This window comes from Homo sapiens, chromosome 3 (assembly GCF_000001405.40).
Source record: "Homo sapiens chromosome 3, GRCh38.p14 Primary Assembly".
NCBI lineage: Eukaryota > Metazoa > Chordata > Mammalia > Primates > Hominidae > Homo > Homo sapiens.
The window spans coordinates 83,417,582-83,439,431 of record NC_000003.12 but is presented as its reverse complement, the minus strand read 5'-3'; the positions used below and the strand labels follow the sequence as shown (position 1 = coordinate 83,439,431).

At 34.4% G+C, this 21,850-nt stretch overlaps 1 long non-coding RNA gene across 2 annotated transcripts in view; it reads right to left on the bottom strand.

The window, feature by feature from the left end:
- LOC105377183 (uncharacterized) overlaps window positions 1-21,850 on the bottom strand; it is a 39,119-nt gene that overhangs the window by 12,230 nt on the left and 5,039 nt on the right. The window contains exon 2 of one of the 2 annotated variants that reach the window (XR_941006.1): window positions 1,864-2,225. This is a non-coding gene — a long non-coding RNA (uncharacterized LOC105377183). Of the gene's footprint in view, window positions 1-1,712; window positions 2,226-21,850 lie in introns of those variants that run through there. The other variant, XR_941005.1, reaches the window with a different exon arrangement.

Here is a 21,850-nt window from a genome sequence, read left to right as displayed (position 1 = left end):
TTCCCCCCTCACACTTTTAGAACTCACATTTTTCTCCTGTCTCATGAAACTTGCAGCAGTATGCCACTTTTTTCAAAGGATTTGTGAATTCTTTTTTTTTTTTTTTTCTGGTATATTCCTGCAGTGGTTCTTCAAGCAAAAGTTCATGGTGTGAGTCTCCACACATTGTTCTTTCTGTTCAAGTGGAAGCTGTATATTAGCCCTGTCTCCTATCCACCATCTTCCTCACACTCCCCTAATAAGGCATTCTTAATTTGATATAACGTATTAATTATTTCCCTCTAAGAACAAAAATGTGACAAAGATACTTGTTATCACTAATTCAATTCAAAGTCATACTTGATAAGTTAAATGGTCTAAAATGCAAGAAAAGGAAATGAATGAGATTGAATAAAGTGAAATAACCTTGCCATTACTCATGGTCATATGACTGTGCAAGTACACAATCTAGAAAAGCCTACAAAAGAAATATTAGCATGAAAAACTAAATTAAACAACCTTACTTGATATTACATTATTAAAAATTAATGGCATTTCTAAATAGCATTAATAAAAGTAACAACAACAAAAAAGAAAATTTAAAATAATATTTAAAATAGCATCAAACACATCAAGTAGACTTTTAATTTCTAGCTATAATAGACAGTAGATATTGGCAAATTGTCTCCCCCCATCCAAGAATACAAGTTAAAAACTGGCAAATATTGCCAAGAAAACCTCCACAATTTTACATCCCTGGAAATGTACAAAGTTACAAGTTGGTAAGTGTTTATTCAAGAAAAACTGTTGAATAATGGGGAAAACAGTGGGAATCTGTAGGCTTCTTGCCTGAAGCCATTCCATTTACCCTTCCCTTAACCCGAAACCTCTACCCTGCCAAGTTTGATTTGTTAATATTACTACAGTGGGGCTGGAAAAGGATAAAAAGCAGCTTCACTGCTAAGAGGGCAGATTTGATTTTCAGCAGAAGGTAAATACCCATGCCTGGTGACATTGTCAGAAAATAAAGCACAGTCTGTAAGAAACAATGAGGAAACCCATGACTGTGCTGGCCTGGAATTAGCATCTTGGTTGAGTCAGTGATAATTCTGCCAAAAAATTAGTGGAATCTTTGAAATTAGAGAGGCATAGAAAGCTATATAACTCCTCATGCATCCCTGACTATCTGGAAAACTATATACATGTGCAAGGCAAAATCAAGAGAGCCCAGGGGGAATTAATTGTGAAGCAAGAGATAAAAATGTCCCAAACTTCAAATACTCTCTCTAATTCACACACAGATTTATTGCCAAAGATTGAAAGAAACCTCTGTTTAGGAAGTATGAAGAACAGTTAAAACTCAGTAATAGAAGATACGCATTTCTCTTAAAATATGCAAAAAATTGTTTAGACAGTTCACAAAAGAAAATATATGAATAACCAATAAGCATAAACACATCATTACTCATTAAGAAAATGCAAATTAAAACCATAATGATGTGTAACTACACACCAGCTAGAAATTCTAAAATTACCAAGTTTGCTGAGCATGGGAAAAATGTGGAATCCTAACATAATGCTGGTAGAAATGTGGAATGAGATTATTTTAGGGAACTTTATGGAAATTTCTTATAAATTTAGAAATATAGTATATTTATTGTATGACTCAACTATTTTACAATTTCATTATCCCAGAGTAATGTAATATAGGTACACACACAGACTTGTTGATATATGTTTATAGTAGTTTTATTCTTAATAACTGTAAACAACTCAAATGTCCACCACCAGAAGGAACCCATTAAATAAAAGCTAATTGAATGGGATTATAGAACTATACTCTTAAAACACTTAGTCACTCTAATGGATAAATGATCTACTTACAATAAATTTCAAACATTCCAAAAAAGCAGTGAACAAATTGACACTGTGTATATTATCACTTTTTGAGCACTTTTCTTTTCGTTGCATTCCAGGGATGCAAGCTCTTTTATTTTTCCAAATATTCTCCAAATTTTTAGGTTCATTAGTATATCGCTGCCTGTAAATACTCCGCTCTCTTTGCTAATAATTTATTGCCTCATTCTACCTCTATCACTTCAGCTGCTCCTTGAGGCCTGCATGCAAATGTCTGTCATTTATTTACTCAGCAATATTTATTGATTAGCTAGTAAGTCTCTGGTTCTTCTAGGCTTTGGGATACAGCATTAAAGAGGAGATAATCTCTTCCTTTTCAGATCTTCATTCTAGTGTATGATAGAAAAAAATGTATATGTTAACATGCAGTAGACCAGCTGTTGATATGTATTAATAATAAATCGAATTATTTATAAGTAATAATAACCAGGTTATGTATTAAAATTTATACCATGTTATATAATGCATATTTATAATTAATAATTAGTAAAACTTATTTCATTAGTGTGAAAAATTAATAAGGTAGGCCCAACCCTCTTCTCATTGGAGGAGTGTTAAAATTTTACATGGATTACTTGAGAAGGCAACATTGGAACAGGGGTTTGAAGAACTGGGGGAGATGTGAATGATCTCAATGTAATTATCTTGGGAAGCTGTATTACCGACTGCAGAAATAATGCTTGGATGTTTTTCTTGAATCTCCAGTTATCTCCACTGCTTCTTTTTTGGCTTTGTTTTGTATTGTTATTGTGTTTAGAATTTTTCATTGTATTCTGTGTAGATCTGCTTTTTTCTGCAATGACTGTAAACTCCTTATGGGAAGAATAATTGCTTTTTGTTCAACGTTATTTATAAAGTTAAAAAAAAGTGAATGCTCATGGTAAGCATTAGTTAAATATTGTTGAACAAAAACTTTCAATGTATGAAAACATTTAAATATATTTTTCAAACATTTTCAAACATATTTTTCTAATGCTGTGTAATTCACAAAGATTTGGTTCCAATAAGAACAGATGATTAATATTAATAGGCTATTAATCCATTACAAAATAGACTGAAGAGCCAAGTTGCAGTATAAGTGGGGAAGTATATTGGTTCTTTTTTTTTCAATACATTAAGTTCAAGGTACCTGTGAGTCATTCCAGCTATTGACACACAAATATATCTTTTTTTTGAAGCATTTAATCTGTTTCTGTACTTTTTTAAAGCTCATATCTTTCTTACTTTTACAAAATATTTTCTGTGTCTTTGTTGCTCTTTAGTCACAATTCCTGATACTATAAAGCTACATATTAATTTTTCCATTTTTAATAATGAATTACTTAAAACTCATCAAATAGTACCTCTTAATCAGTAGAGGTAAAACTGGGTTTCCACAAATACATAAATATGCAGATTATAGAAGCATTGAAAAGCATATTTCAATGGATATTATGACCAGCACACTCAAATACAGGAGGTCAAGTGACATTTTAGAATGAGCATAGATTTTGATGACAAATGGAAAATAACTTTAAATATTTTCTGAGCCATTACTAAACATTAGATAATTGACTAAGCAATTAAGAGGATCTTATTTGACTCTTACAACAAAATATGAGCATTATCTGCATATTTTCAGATGAAGAAAACAGAGGAACAGAAAATTTTAAAAACTTGTCAAAGTTCTCATCGCAGCTAAGTGGTCAAAACAAATTTTGAAACTAAGTCGCAGAATTCTAGGGTACAGTTTTTATTGCTGTGTTTTAATTGCTGCTTCAGTTCCTATGATAAAAGATTTTTTTTTTCTTCACAACTACCTATTTACTACAGGATTAATGATACAATATTTAAATTCTATAAGCATACATGGTGTTTTGGTAAGTTAAATGAAAGTGTGCATTTAACTCACCAAACAAAGCCTTGCGACCAGGGACACTCAGAATTCTTAGTCCCCCACTCCTCTTTTTTAAATTCAAGGATGAGAGCTCCTGTTATTTCACATTCTGTTTCTGTCTGGGTCAAGTTTCCTGTGAGCTGTCAGAGCTGCTAAATCAGATGTCTCTTCATACATGCCACTTAGAAGAGGCAGGAACACTGTCTTCCTGCAGCTCCTGGGCTCTTTAAATACAGAGTGAGAGCCTCTTACAGGTCTCTCTGTGCAACAGTTCACTGTCAGCGTTTCACTGCAGCCTGACCGGCCCAGGAGCCTGGAGCTGGTTGATAATATAAAGAGAGAAATGTCTGCTCCATGACAGACACTGATGGCAGGGGCTGCCAGTCCCAGTGGGCTCTGACTCCGGCCACAACCACACACAGCATGCCACAAGCTGAATCCACTTTGATGAAAATGGATTCTTTCTTCTGTAGGTTCACTGGACTCATTTAAATTAGGTTGTAATTCTAACTAGAGCAGACAGATTTTGCAATTCTAGCAGTATTTTCTGTTATTCTTTTGTAATGTAGTAGACTGTGTAGGAATTTTATTCACAACTGTTGCTGTCATGTGCCTTCCAGTCAGAAGTGCATTCTGCAATATTATATTCTGATTTCTAAAACCATTGTTATATCTAGAGTCTTACTGCTAATTTAAAGAGATAGTTAAAAATCCATTCCCCTCTTTATTTCATCATTTCATACTTCTCTAGGCTGGGCTTCTATGAAAATATATTGCATTCACCAATACGTCATTGTTTTGAATCTTTTTTTTTCTTATTCAGAAGTAGGCTTAGACACACATAGAACACATAAAGCAGAAAGAGACTAGTAATATTTAATGTAGTTGTTCGTTTCTTAGATGAGAAAATAGACACACGCTCTAGTTCACACTATCTGTTAATTCTGGGTAAAAATGAAGATTTTAAAATCCTCTCTGATCTGGTACTCTTTGAAACTTGTCACACATTCACATACAAGCAAAATGAAAGGAAGAATTTATGATGCTAACCCAGCATAATCAACACTACTTATGTAACCATTTATGTAATGATAACATCTTTTGTTTACATACTGGTCAGGATTTTAAATCTAGTTAAAATACATATTCATTAAGATTTGCAGAACAGGAATTTATTCTTGTTTACTAAAGGAAATGCTGACTTACTGAAACAAAAAATAGGGTTAAAGTTGTATCATCAATATTTTTCATTTTCAATTCAAAGATTTTTTTTCATTTTCAAAAATATAATAGAACTTGTGACATTCTGTCCATTTTTGATACATAGCAAGAAGTAAGCTGATAATATAAGTTGTAGGGTAGTATCCAAGGTAATCAAAGCAGGGCTTCAAAAGTAGTATATTAATTTTGTGCAATGAATTCTACTGGTCAATTGATGCTTTAACTTAAGAAAGTTCAAAATTCCACATTTGTCTTTAAGACACGTTTAAATTCACATTTTTCATATCCCTTGTAATCAATGAGCCAAGTTCACATTCAGCATCATTTCTTATCTAAGGATCTTCAAACGGACCTCAAGTCACTATAAACCTCATGACAATGGCTTTTACAACTATGATATTTAATATGAGAATAAAGACAACTACTATAATCTTTAGGATTAAAATTATTATGTATGAAAGAGTGTGGTGTCACTATATTTGGACAATTAGAGACATAAGAAAGTATATATATAATATATATATAAAGTATGTATATATTATATATATTATATATTAAATATATATATCATATATAATATATATAAAGTATATATAGAGAGAGGAATTCACTCAAATCTAAAGAATATATATATACTCTCTCTATATATACTTTATATATATATACTGTCTATGTATACTTTATATATTATATATAAACTATATATAGAGATATATAATATATAATATATGTAATATATATTACATATGTATTATATATGTATATTTATATATTATAATATATATAAAGTATATATATATAGAAAGTATATATATATAAAAAGATATTCTTTAGATTCTAGTGAATTCCTCACATTCTCACTAAATTTTTCTAGGACCTTATGATAAATTTCAAAATTACATATAGTTGATAAGAAGAAAGTAATGCAGACATTTTTCAAAATATGAAAATCATCAGGGCAAAAATACAGTTTAGATATTTATGTAAGGATCGCTCCAAGATGTAAGTTGAGAATTATAACAAAGAAACCCTATATTCAAGGCTATCTAAAATAACATAATATCTTAGAATTTATATTTTAGGGCTAGGAACGGTGGCTTACACCTGTAATCCCAGCATGTTGGGAGGCCGAGGCAGGCAGGTTGCTTGAGTCCAGGAGTTCAAGACCAGCCTGGGAAACATGGTGAAACCCCATCTCTTCTAAAGAAAAATACAAAACACTAGCTGGCTGTGGTAGTGAACACCTGTAGTTCCACTACTAGGGAGGCTGAGGTAGGAGAATCACTGGGCAACGGGAGACCCTATCTCAAAAAAAAAAAAAAAGAATTTAGATTTTGATCATGGCATTATTTTAATTCCAGGTTAATCATTCAAACTTTAAATCCAAAGCTTTTTATATGTAGATGAATCTCTCCAGAATGACATTATCATGATTCGCAATATCCAGTATACTAAAATGTGGCAGAAAAACAATACTATAAAAATAATACAAAAAAATTCTGGTGCAAAAATACAGTAAGTTAAAACCCTAATGACCTATTTGGTCGATAGCTACATAAATAACAATGAATGGTTAGATGAACAAATAATTCAAATATCAATGTGGACTAGAAAAAAAAGCAAACAAAAACACAAACATGAACAAATGAAATAAGACAGACAGACATACGATGGGGACAATAGCATTGAAACTAGGAGAGGACTCTAGGATCAGAGATAAGCAATGGGACAAAAATGTGTTTCATTCAAGATGAGTGACCTGAAGCCAGGCTTAAGTCTCAGAGTCTGATTAACGGATAACTCTTAGCTGCTTATTGAAAGAGGCAAAGCTACAGCCTCTAGCAAACTGCTGGGCCAAATGAGGAGAAACAGAAACAGGCTCCTGGCCAGAAGCTGAGCCATACTATCCTCTGCTACGGATCTCCAACTGGAAGATGTAATGTCCGGGGTACATGAAAGAGATGAAAGCTGGGGTTGTAGGGAAAATGCAAAATCATAGAGGGGCAGGGGTGAGAGAAGAGACAGAGGGAGATTGGAAACCAACCTCAAAATATAATAACATAGGGTACAAAATATCCCTTCAAAAGGAACCTAAACATTTTGAATACAGGAGTTTACTCAATAAGTCATTATTGAAGGAAAATTGGAATATACATTCACCATAGATAAATATATATACATATGTAAACAAGCAACACATGAGGTATTTTAAATAAGAACCAGAAATATATTTTCAAACGATCATAAAATAAAATATTAAAGAGAATATATAATACAGGTCACATTTTCTATATTGCATTTAAATTAATTAAACAACAAATATAGTAGGGGATGGTAACCCTATACTTAAAAAATTAAAATGTAATGCTGCATTACTTCTGGGTTTAGATGGAAGGTAGTGGATATGCTACATATCAAAAATCGTGGGACATACCTAAATCAGTATTAAGCAGACAATTTGGAGCTTTAAATGCTCTAAATAGCACACATAGACACACAAGAAATACAAATAATAAACTAAGAATATACTAAAAATAGTAACAAAGACAACAAAGTAAAACTAAATATAGTAGATGTCAGTGATAATAAAAATATAGCATAAATAAATAATATAGAATACATCACAAAAGGAACAGATTGGATCAACAAACAAAACCTCTTTCTTTGATAAATATGATAGACAAGGCATTAGAAGACATTTTAAAGAGGAAATTATATATCTCTATGTGCACATATATAACATAGGTATGTGTGTATATATATGGTATGTCATTACATATCACATATACACACACATATCATATATTTAAACTCACATATAATATATATGTAAAACAACAAAAAGATTAAAGAAATTAACTTGGTCATCAAATATTTCACTGATTATAATGGAGATCATAGAATTTAAATACCATTCATAAAATTTAATAAATATATATTTCTGTATGATAAAACTACTTCAGAGAATAATAACATAGGGGAAGAATCCCAATATATTTTAGCATGCTAGCAAATTGTTAATCCACACATGGGAGAAAACTGGTGAAAGAAAAATAACTTATATACTAGTCTCAATTGTGAACTATATGCACAATTACGAATTAAAATATTGACAAATCAAATAAAGTATTGTATAAAAATGATACATCATTACCAAGTGAATTTATTTAAGGAGTTAAAAGATGTTGTAACATCAGAATATCTGTTCAAGTAATGTATCATATGGACATTAATTTAAAATAAAATTGATTATCTGAAGATTTATAGAAAAAAAGTCAGTGTTTGTTACAATTCACCATGTATCCATGACTTAAAGAGATTTATAATAAACTCAGAAGAGAAGAGAATATCCTTACCCTGAAAACAAAGTCATAAATAAATTATCATTTGTCATTCAGTTTAAGGAGCTTATCTATATTCTTTTCTCTGTATTACTGGGTTTCAAACCTACAAATTACAGTTCCCAGAATCCCTTGCCAGTGAACTTCCTAAGTTCTGCCTAATGGAAACAGTCGTTGGAAATCAGAAGGCAGGAAGAAAAGAGGAAATTTCTCCTCCTCATGGCTACTAGCAACTGTTTGTGGTAGTTATGAACAGCAAGGAGAAGGTTATTTCAGACGCTAGCATTCTAAGCACAGGTATCAATTCAAGCCCTAGTTAAGAAAATAATTTTATGGTAAATCCAGAACAGACTATAACTGTCTCCAACAGAGCAACTGCAGGTGCAGCCTCTTGAATTTTAGTCCTGGACCAGTAGAAGTTTCTGATATCTAGGTGTTATCTAATTATTTTTTTGCACCTTCTAGACAGGCTCCTTTTTCCTTCTTTACTTGAGAATTTCCAATATGTTAAAAAAAACTCTCCTGTTCTTATTTTTTTTATTGATTTACAGGGTATATGTGCAGATTTCTTACATACGTATATTACTTAATGGTAAAGTCTGGGCTTTTAGTGTACCCATCACCCAAGAAGTGAACACTGTACTCAACAGGTAATTTTTAAACCCTCACAAAGTACATATATTAAATTCTATCTGGAGTATTTTATGCTTTTCAGACCAGACCTGTGGCTTTTATTACCAACTATACCTAAAATTACACTAGGCTTATAGTGCATTGTAATACATCAAGAAAAAGAGGGGGAAAGGATATACAATGTGGGGAAAAAGTGAAAATTATTTTCTTACATATAATATGATTTCCTCACAGTCTGCAGTTTTACATAAAGCTATCAGGTGCAAGAACAACATTTTAAAAATCCATGTGTATTACCAACAAAATTAGAAATAAACTATGAGTAAACTTAACCAAAAATACTGCACATAAATTCTATGAATATTACTAAATATTGCTGGAGAATAAACAATTGAATACAAGGAGAAAATTCTTTGGTTATGGAAGGGAAGATAATATCATAATGGTGTCTTTTTTTTCCCTAAAAATCTATAACATCTAAGCTAATGAAATTACCAATCCTATGTAAATTTGGCAGTAGGAATTGGAAGCCAATTTGAAAACTGACATGGAACATCAAAGGTCCAAGAATACTCAAGATAGTTTTGAAGAAAGAAAGCAATGATGTGATCAGAGACGGTGACTCTTAACTAGATAGTAATTGTCAAGTCAATAACATGGTAACAGCAAAGTAAGAGATAAATTGACTAGTGGACAGAATGGGCAGAACACATACCCATGCTTATACTATAAATTACCTACATTGCAGAAAATACATTGCAAAATTTTGAGAAAGTTCGAGTTTTTATAATAATTCAAGAATACTTTGCCATTTATTTGTAAATACCTTATCTCGTTTACATAATCTGGACAAAAAATAAATCATTTTTTTCACTTTTAGCAGAAAAACATGAAATTCTCATTACACCCTGAAATTTTGAAAAAAAAATTCTGAAATTAAGCACAAAAGCCGATATATGACTAAATTAGAAATTTTTTCTACAGAATAGAAACTATGTAACATGTAAATATAAAGTCCACAGAATATGACAAAATGTTTTCACTTTCTATAACTAAGAATGCTTTATTGACTTATACATTAACTTGTATAAGAAGTGTTATTAATTGAAAATAAAAAGCTCTTCCAACGTGTAGGAATATAATCATAACTAACATTTTAAGTGGTGATTTTGTGCTAGACTCTATTCTAAATGCTTTATGCCCTCAGAATATCCCTGTGATACAGGCATTATTACTATCCTCATTTTACAGATGAAGAAACTTAAGAACAGAGAATTTAAGTGATATCCTCAAGTTTATAAAGCTAATGTGCAACTGGGGGTCTATACCTTGTGTGTATGACTATAGAGTTTCTACTATTAACCAATAGAATAACAATCCTGAGAATATAATACATGTGTGGTGAATAAATGTGGGGAAAGCTGCTCAAGCTTACAAATCATCAGGATAATTCATATTGAAACTAATTGTCATTTTATGTACATAAAATTAGCAAACTATTAAAAAGCAAATATTGGCAAGGATGTTAAGAAACCAAAACTCTTAGGCATTGGCATAACCACTATGATAAACAACTTGGAAGCATCAAGTAATTTATATTAAACATACATGCCCATAGAAATGTGTATAAGAGTATTGATTAAATACACTATGGCTGTATAGATAACGATCCACCATTTGTAAATTTCCTATGAATGAGAGTGTCTACAATTTGACCTCACTTTATTTTTACTTTTTATTTATATTATTATTATTATTATTATTATTATTTGAGATGGAGTCTCACTCTGTCGCCCAGGCTGGAGTGCAGTGGCACAATATCAGCTCACTGCAAGCCCCGCCTCCCGGGTTCACGCCATTCTCCTGCCTCAGCCTGCCTCAGCTGGGACTACAGGCACCCGCCACCACACCCAGCTAATTTTTTGTATTTTTAGTAGAGACGGGTTTTCACCGTGTTAGCCAGGATGGTCTCGATCTCCTGACCTCGTGATCCGCCCCCCTCGGCCTCCCAAAGTTCTGGGATTACAGGTGCCCGCCACCATGCCTGGCTAATTTTTTGTATTGTTTAGTAGAGATGGGGTTTCACCCTGTTAGCCAGGATGTCTCGATCTCCTGATCTCGTGATACGCCCGCCTCAGCCTCCCAACGTGCTGGGATTACAGGCATGAGCCACTGCGCCCGACCTGGACCTCACTTTATAATTCAAAATGTTATTAAATATATCTTTCAAAATTTTGAAAACACTTTGTTATAAATATAGCTTTAGACATTTCATTAAGAGACTTTTAAATGATATTTTTAAAATTGAGAACATGACATCACAAATTTCTTGTGATATTTTGTAAGTGGGTCACAGTAAGAATATGCAATAAACCTTTCTCATAAATAGAGCAATACTCCCTTTCTTGAGACACATAATGAGGAAGTGAATGTATAATAGACTGTCTTACGGTAGGCTGCTCTTTACTCACTCACTTTGCAATACCCTAATCTTGTCAGTAGAAAAAAAAAAGGTTTTATTTGGAAGAAAACCAAATCTATTGATTGCACAACATCCAAGAATTATAAACCCTTTTGTAATTTCTCATAGTGCCTAATCCAACCACTATTCTTACCTCAATTTCTGCTAACACAGTCGGCTTTACAGTAATTGACCCCTGCTCAGGTGTCTTTTCAATTCTATTGCACCTGACTAGTGATTCCTCTTTGCATTTATGTTTAGAAAAAGACAATTAACATGGACTTGGATGCTCCAGGGATATTGCAAGTCCCCTTCAATATTTCTCCAAATCCTTAAAGCTAACGCAGACTCTGTAACCTTTACCCAAAGCTCCGTTCTTTTTCAGCATATTATTGACCTCTTATTTTATAACCAAACTAAGCAGGGTGCTCTTTTAGGCTCCCTCATTCTCCCAAAGGTTCTAACTGAAAAAAGCCATAAAATCTCCTAATATAAATTTCAATGTGTGTAAATGATTATAACCTACTTAGACTATGATATATCTGCAAGCACTCAAAACCTCCCCACAAAATGCTTTGAGTCAATTTTGTCCATCTGTCTCTCCAAAACAAACAAAAAAAGCAGTTACAAAAATTTCTAGGAGCACCCGGCTGTTGTTATCAATGGATTAGTAATTTTTCAGCCTTTGCTAAATGCTTATATGCCTTCCTCCCAGATACTATTTGACACCTCATTCCCTGGCCTTTGGGGACATATTACATCCATTGAAGTCTTAAAATTAGCATTGCCCGCATCGTGGTTTACTTAATTTTGACAAACCTTTTCACCTATATTGTCATAAAACTCATGTGATTGTTGCAGGGCAAAACTTTTGCCTCTCATACATGTCCTGTATCATATTTCTCATGTCAATTGGACCCGTGGCATCAGGCATGCCCCATGCCTGTGTGTGATAGCAGCAGGTGCTGCCCTAATTGACAAAGCCAGTATTCTTACATGAGACACTTCCATTCACCTCTATGTTCTCCATGCTGTGTTTGCTCTAAGTTCATAAGACATAGTAACTCTCTACATGGCAGCAGATCACTGATGAATAGGCCCTATTAGCCAATATCTCCATCATCTTATGTCACTGTAGCTCTTTAAATGCAGTTACTTTGCTATCTTTCTCTGATGATGGTTAGCTACACTTCATTCTACATGATTACCTTGCATCTATAGAAATGATTTTAAAGCCACCAGAGGAGCTCTTAGACAACCCAGACTTATTTGTATTTTGTGATGGCTTCTGTAAATGGAATTTGTAGGGGAACATCATAACTGCCTACACCATAGTTTCCTCCCATGAAACACTTGAGGCATACTCTTTGCCCACTGTAAAATCAGCTAGAGCTGTTGACCTCATATCTCTTATTAAAGATTGCACACTGCCAAAGGGCAAAGCTGCCACTATTTACAATGACTCCAGATATGCTTTGGGAGTCTGTCATGTGGTGCCACAGTCTGGAAATTCCACAAATTCTTAACCTCTGAAGGTACTCTTACTGCCAAAGGGCATATAATTGCTGCCTGATTGCATGCGACCTTCCTACTAAAATTGCTATGTTGTTCACTGACCTGCCTACACTAAGAAGACTAATACTGTATCTCTAAGGAGCAGCAGAACCGACAAGGCTACTAAATATGAAATTGAAAACAGACTTCCTTAAACTTTCTCCACCCAAGTTATAAGCCTGCCTTTAACCCTGGTTAATTTTATTAATTATCAAACAACTGTACCAGTATGAAAAACACAAATGGATACAAAGGACTAAAAGACAATTGGTTCTGCCCTGACATCCACAAAATCATGACATTCATGACCAAGTTATTTCCGAAGCATTACTTATAAATCTCACATTTCTCAAGGAAATTAGCAAACCTCAGAGAATCCTCCAAGGTCTACGCTGCTCCTAGTACCACTCCAGATGGATTTTATAGATTTACCACCATATTTAGGTTCCTCTCACTGTTTGGTGATTACTCATACTAATTCTACTACAATAGTAAAGACAATTAACTTAGATTATTCCTCGTTTGGGCATTTCTTCGTGGATTGAATCAGATCAGATATTTCATTTTATGGCACAAATAAACTACTTTCTTACAATAACTTTGGGGTTCTCATTAACACTGGGTATTCTGTACTATCCTCAAACACCAGGGCAAATGGAATATAAAAATCTAGACTCAAATACACTTAAATAGCCAGAAGCCATACTCCTGGCCTTTATAAAAATCTGTAATATTCCAAATAGCACACACAGATAAACCCCTTGTAAAATAATTTTGAGTCTCCCTATGCCTATTGGCATCTCTAAACCTCCATTCCTGAATTGAGAGAACACGATGGGGACTTAAGTGAACAATTCGATGCTATGGCTAGCTATATATAAGAGCTAACAGGTATATTTGAAACATTATCAACAGGTGAAAAAAAATGTGTGGCCTCCATCAACTTGCCATTCTTTTAAGGCAGGAGGTTGGCCGTGCCTAAAGGGTTTTAGAAGAAAGCATACATTGTCACCTTGCGCAGTACCGAAAACACTGAAAAGGGCTTTGCAAAGGACTGCTGACTCCAACACTGCCGTCAAAATGAGAGAAAAATTCTCCTGGTTTCATAAAAGCCACACTAAACTAGACCAAGGTAATTACTACCAGGGCAATTGGAAGACCATCCTTTTAGGTGAGCTCAAAATAGGAATTTCCACAGTTATATGGTTGTTTGGCTATTTGTCCTCTCCAAATCTCATCTTGAAATGCAATTCCCAATGCTGGTTGTGGGGCCTGGGGGGAGGTATTTGGATCATGGAGGTGGATCCCGCATGAATGGCTTAGCGTCATCTCTTTAGCAATGCGTGAGTTCTTGTTCTGGTAGTTCATGTAAGATCCAGCCATTTAAAATAATATGGCACTTCCTCCCTCTTCTCTCTTGCTCCTACACTTGCTGTGTGACACACCTGCTCCCTCTTCACCTTCTGTCATGAATGTAAGCTTCCTGAGGCCCTCACCGGAAGCAGACACTGGCACCACACTTCGGTACAGCATGCAGAAATGTGAGACAAATTAAGCCCAGACATGAGTATTTCTTTATAGCAATGCAAGAATGGCCAACTACTCATAGCTATTCCCAGGCTCTGAAGTCAAAAAAATAAAAAAGCAGACTGCTATTCCTAAAATCACAGATCAAGAAATTTCCCTCTTTTGAAGTCTCTCTCCATCCTAAAAAACAAAAAGTATTTATTTATTTGGTTTAAATAAAACCTTCCTTTGTTGCCCACTTATTAAAAGACCAAATGAAGATTGCTTTTTTTCAATCTATCCTACTCTTCCTCTGATCCTTCAATATGGGCTCACTTTCAAACTTTGCCTTACTTCTGTTAACCCTTACTGTCTTCTCAACAAGTCAGGCACAGACTTGACACTGCCTTACCCCACTTTTTCAACCCCTGGCCATGCTAGCTAGTCAATAAGATTGCTGGTTACATCAACATCTAGAAACAACCTGAGTTAGCTTTTGCTCCTGTCAATGTGAGCACTTTGTGGATCAACTACAGAAGATGAATAAAAGGGAATCGCATCCACAATCAGGAAAACAATGTCAGTCTACCTCTTCAAGTGAGTTAAGTGACTGAAGTAAAACCACTGTGGAAGCTCAAGGATTGTCCTTTGCTCAGGTAAAAATATTAGAAGGAAATTTTTTTCTTTGCATTTAAAACAGACATGGATGGTACAAGACCCTTCCTAGCTGACATAGCAAGGCAATATTGTATTCATGGTTGAAGCACACTGGACTGTGGGATTGCAGGCTCCACTCTGACCTTGCCCATGAACAACACTGGTCATTTTATCTTCTGTGGTGACAAGGAATATAAAGCACTCCCACATAAATGGTCAGAACAATGTAGAATTGGGTACTTGGTTCCTTCCTTCATCTGGTACTCCACCTTCAATGCTAGTCAAATTACAAGCCTGGGCTCCTTTGTTTATAAGTTATTGCCATATAAACGTAATACATGAGACAGAACAGAAAACTCTCTTGTATATCACCACTCTAAGTAATTTTCAGTGTTGAGGACGTTATTTCTTTACTCCTAACTTTTAGAATTTATGGTGTGAAAAAAAATCCGAAATATTTCCATGATATTAGAACAAGATTTCACACCACTATGAGAACGTTGGCAGCATTTTAATCAGAATTTAAGTTGAATGCTCTTGTACTTCAAAATTGTCATGTCCTGGGTACACTGACTGCCCCTCAAGCAGGAGGGAAAATTGTGCAATCATTGTCAAAAAATGCTGCTTCCAAGTGAATTGGACAGGATAAAGAGTGTCTAATGTACACTTTTTAAAAAAAGAAGATAAACACTCTGTCAGATTAATGAGGCTCAACCAATTTATTGAATTTATCCATTCTCAAGTTTGGGAGTTTGCTTTAATGGGATTTGGAGACGTGTGCTTTGTTGTGGTCTTTTTCCGCTTACTTATTCTTATACTAATCTGTGTTCTCTTGTCCCTTTGTGGATCTTTAACTACTCTGCTACCAACCTATTTCTCCTTTCCACATCCACCAACTCAGTTTTTTAATTCGTAAAATTTCTTGGGAAGTTTCAGACAGGGGAGGTGAAGGAGTTCAGAACACGACCCAAAACAATATGATACTTAGGAATATTGATTATTTTGAGGAGAAGTCATTTGAAAAATAGCTGATGCAGGAAAGGGGTCTCTGACCCCTCTAGCTAAAAGCAGGTCATAAAATTTCCCACTAGGAAAATGCTCACCCTGTATCAGGAAGAGCACATTCTCATCACCAGACACTAGGAATAGATACACAAATGTATCTGTACAAACAAACCTACTAAAACAACCTTTATCTTTCATTAGTTTTTCCATATATTTTCTGGTTTCTTTCCCAGAATTTACTGCTTCTAGACCAAATCCATGTGGCTTTTCACACCCCCACACAAAGTTACCATTTTTTTTCTTGTTGTTGTTAAAAATATATGTTATCAGTCTTAACTGCTTCTTTTGTTTTCCATTTTTCTTGTGATGTCTCTGCTGAGCACTTAAAAATATTCCATAAAATTTGTATTATTTTCTCTTCTTAATCTGTCCTATATTAGTTTAGTTTTTAGACCCAGCTACAGAACCTAAGAGGATAAGTTTTTCCTCTTCCACGGTACAAATTGTTGTCAGGTTGTAGTTTCAATACATATTTTCCAAAACTAGTATTTACATTTGCCCAAATATATTATTTTTTGTTCATACACTAGATGACATAAGAAATGAAAGAATGCCAGTTCACTTACAACAAAATGGTGATTTCTTTACCTGACTGAAAAATCATTACTATAATTTCTCAATTATCTCTGAGCAATCACAGGCCAACTAACCCAGATTTGTATGCTAAAGGAGACGCAACCACGGAAAAGATGATCTGATCCTGTCTTGGATTTAAAAGTAGATTGTCATTTCTATAATATCTGAATTTGGAAATTCATGTGGTAAAAAAACTCCCAATATATATGATTATTAAAATTATTAGAATACAACAGCAGATTATAATTTGAATTATAGTAAAAATATCCTTGTTTCATTCATTTTTTGGTCTTATCTTGCAGCCCAAACACATTTTCCAGTGACTAGCAAATATTTGATGTGTTAAAACAGATCTGGATTGAATGATTGAAAGAGCCAAGGTTGTAGAGTGAAGAACACAATAAGCTTATTTCTAAAATGCAAGTTCATCAGGTCATTTAAACTCTCTCATTCTTATTTTTCTCAGTTCTCAAATGGAAATAATAATGCTGGCCCCGTAAATGTCACTATGAATCAAACAAAACCATTAGCACAATGCCAAAAATATGAGGTAATTTTTAAAAATGGAAGTATATAGAGGTAGCCATTGACCAGAGTACTCCAGAATCAACATCAAATGATTAACACTGTAGGTAGGTATGCTTTCTTTTTCTTTAATCACAATCAAAAGTAAACTCATTGAATAATCAAAGGTCAAATCGTTACATTTTCTGGGTTAACCAGTAGGACACTGGGTGCGCATATATCTCCATAGTATTTTCATCTTTAAATAGGCAGTGTTTCCCACAATCTTCATCAGATTCACCCTGAATGGTAAATAAAATGTAATGCTGTTTAAGATAACTAAAGCAGGCCAGGCACGGTGGCTCATGCCTGTAATCCCAGCACTTTGGGAAGCCGAGGTGGGCGGATCACAAGGTCAGAAAATCGAGACCATCCTGGCTATCACGGGGAAACCCCGTCTCTACTAAAAATACAAAAATTAGCCGGGCGTGGCGGCGTGTGCCTGTAGTCCCAGCTGCTGGGGAGGCTGAGGCAGGAGAACGGCGTGAACCCGGGAGGCGGAGCTTGCAGTGAGCCGAGATCGCGCCACTGCACTCCAGCCTGGGAGACAGAGAGAGACTCTTGTCTCAAAAAAAAAAAAAAAAAAAAACAACTAAAGGAAATCTATTGGAAAGTGGTTTTCCTATTTTAGCCTGAAATAAGAATTACCTAAAGTATTTGTGATAACACACATTTCTGGGTTTCATCTCCAGAGTTTTTTATTCAGTTGGCCTGAAATGGGGCTCAAGAATTTGCATTTCTCAAACATCCCCAGTGATGCCAACACTGCTAGTGATGGGACTTCACTTTAAGAAACAATGGCCTAAAGAATCTATGTATTTTTTTATTTTTTTTAACAAATTCTCAGATGATTCTGGTGATATGCCAAGATTCAAAATATTATTATGACTTAGCTGTAGCTAGCTTCCTAATTCCCAAGCTCTTCTACTTGTTATCATCTTAGTCTATCCTGCTCTATTCCCATGTATCTTCCTGCCACCCTTTTATTCATATCAGAGAATGAACTTTCTTTGAAGAATAAATTCAACACAATCAGAATATTGAAATGTGAAGAAGTTAGTATTTATTTATTCACATGACATCACTCTTTTATGGTTTTTATGATACTTGGCTTTATTTATTTTTTATTACAACTTTTATTTTAACATATTGTCTCTTTACTCAGATTATAGGTTACAAATGAGATAAATGGATTGGGGGGAACTCTGGTGAACTAGACGGCCCTTGTCCTATCTAAAATAAAAACCATTATTATATCCAATTAATTACTACTATAAAATATAGGCTTAATATCAATAAACAATGGGTTTTAAGAGAAGAATCAAATTTATATGTGTGTGTGTAAATGCAAGTATTCAATATTTGCTGAGTGAATGAATCTATAAAATAATTACAATCCTAACCTACTAATGATTTTCATAACCTTTTAAGAATAGGTTTAGATTTATAGAAAAGTTGCAAAGACAGTACAAAGTTCCCATATTTTCCTAACCAGTTTCTCATTTTTTCAACATCTTATATAACTTTTCTGGTACCTATGTCTCAACTAAGTAGCCAAATTTGGTGTGTTGCTATTAACCATATGCCATTTTCTACAACAGTTTTGCTAGTTTTTCCTCCTGTTTTCATTATGTTCCAGAATTCCTTCTAGGACACATTATTTTTCATCATTATGTCTCCTTAGGCTCCTCTTGGCTATACCAGTTTCTCAGAATTTCCTTGTTCTTGATGACCTTGACAGTTTTAATTTGTACTGGTCAGGTATTTTGTGCAATGTCACTCAGTTGGGATTTTTCTGATCTTTTTTTCTTGTAATTAGATATGGGTTATGTGGTTTGGGAGGAAGACTATGGGGTCAAGTACTAAATTTAGCACATTATATGGAAATACATGTTATCAACAGGGCTCATCATTAATGATGCTAACAATTACCTGTCGAAGGCAGTGTTTGCCAGCTTTCTCCCCTGGAACCGTGGTAACCTTTTACCCCATCCCCTTTTTGTACTCTACTCTTTCAAAGCCAGTCACTAACCAGAGCACATATTCAAGAGAGGGTGGAATGGTTCCAGCTTTTTGAGGGGAGATTATCTTCACCCAAGTTAAGGGGGTTCATCTGTAAGAGACATTTGTCTATTATCTCTTATAGCAATAATATCCTTTAATTAAAAAAACATTATTTTATTTGACACAATGTGACATTTTAAGAGAAAGCATGTGATTCTTCATTTTACTCTAACATCAATTTTGAAAATTAAAATCTCACTTTCTAAACTCAGCTACATTGTAATGACTTTTGCAAATACAGCTTCAAAAATTGGGTGTATATTGATGAAATATCATAATCAGAGATGATCTAGGTATTGCAGAGGAACAGAAGCCTGAATGAGTTAGTAGAGCCAATCTTTTCTGGGATAAAGCTGGATAATGTAAGGCTTTAAGTAGCATGTTTTATACAAGATGCAAGGATAAACAATGCATATTGTACTTGATTGACTCAGACCTCTTTAATATATTAAAGACTCCAACAGCCTACCATGCTTTTAGATTTTCTTTGCTTATGGACAACAAAGAAGCAAAGTACAATAATAAAGAGTATAACAGAGTTTTGTCCAGGAAAGAACCTCAGCCATGATTATTTTAATAGGCTCTTTTCATTTACAGAAAATATTTAACCTGAAAATGTTGACAGACTTGCATTGTGGTATATATTTATCAGAAGAATAAATAGCATTATCCCCCATTTTTATGATTCCCAAACTAGTACTTGATTATCACATTCTATTTTACTGTGAAGAATCAGAGGAGAAAATTAACCTTTACCTGGAGAGAATGCTGAATTGCAGTTTTCTTTGTTCCATGCTGGTTTGCTTTATGTCACCTTTGCTAAGGCTATTAGAAATGTTTCTCGGGATGGCTGGGTCAAATGGTATTTCTAGTTCTAGATCCCTGAGGAATCGCTACACTGTCTTCCACAATGGCTGAACTTCCACTGTTGGGTGCAGTCCCACCAACAGTGTAAAAGTGTTCCTATTTCTCCACATCCTCTCCAGCACCTTTTTAATGATTACCATTCTAACTGGTGTGAGATGGTATCTCATTGTGGTTTTGATTTGCATTTCTCTGATGGCCAGTGATGATGAGCATTTTTTCACGTGTTTTTTGGCGCATAAATGTCTTCTTTTGAGAAGCGTGTTCATATCCTTCACCCACTTTTTGATGGGGTTGTTTGTTTTTTTCTTGTGAATTTGTTTGAGTTCATTTGAGATTCTGGATATTAGCCCTTTGTCAGATGAGTAGGTTACAAAAATTTTCTCCCATTCTGTAGGTTGCCTGTTCACTCTGATGGTAGTTTCTTTTGCTGTGCAGAAGCTCTTTAGTTTAATTAGATCCCATTTGTCAATTTTGGCTTTTGTTGCCATTGCTTTTGGTGTTTTAGACATGAAGTCCTTGCCCATGCCTATGTCCTAAATGGTATTGCCAAGGTTTTCTTCTAGGGTTTTTATGGTTTTAGGTCTAACATGTAACAAACCTGCACGTTGTGCACATGTACTCTAAAACTTAAAGTATAATAATAATAAAATTTAAAAATAAATAAATAAATAAATGTTTCTCAGAATCCCCTTCCCTAGGTTTTGGAGTATAGTTAGCTAATGGTAAAATTTACCTGAGGTGTGAAAGGCAAAGTAAAAGCAGCAGCCTGTAAGGTTGGGAGGTTCTCACAGTGGAACCTGGTCATGAACATTTGAAGGGGTGCCTTTGGGTGATCTCCATATCTAAACTCCACTTAGATATGGAACCCAACTTGACTGCTAATCGTGCTGGCCCCTGTGGCCCCGGGTCAACCACTCAGTGCATGGCTGGAGGCCCATTGGAGAGGTAGTTACAAAGGGGCAAAAGATTTCCAGGACCTGGAAATTTCTGTAGATCTCTTTCTGAATCCCCGCTTACCGATTGCTCTTCAGTTGCAGATTTATTGAATTCTCGTACTTTCCTCTGAGGTCTTATTCATGCAGCAATATTATACAAGAACTGGTTAGTGAGTCTTTCTCTGATTTGCTGATGTTCCCATTTCAATTTTCTTTCAAAATCTCCCTACATATGAATAAGGCCTAATTCATATAACAAATCTCTAATTCCCATTGTGATTAATGATTCCATTTTCTTGCCTAACATCTGACAGACACATTTTTTTTCCATTTTATTTTATTTTATTTTGTTTCATATGTTTCATCTTTCCAGACCACCAAATGAAGGAAAAATGTATTTTTTTTTTTTTGGAAATAAGATGCTTTAATATAAATAGGGTAATTAAAAAAAAATAATAATAGAAAGAAATTACTACTGAATTTGTTACTTATATTAGTTTGCTCAGGCCACCCTAACAAAATGTGGTATACATCTGACTGAATGAGTTAAGCAATGGAAAGGTATTTTCTAACAGTTTGGAGGCTAGAAGTTCAAGATCAAGGTGGCAGCATAGTTGATTTCTGGTGAATGTTC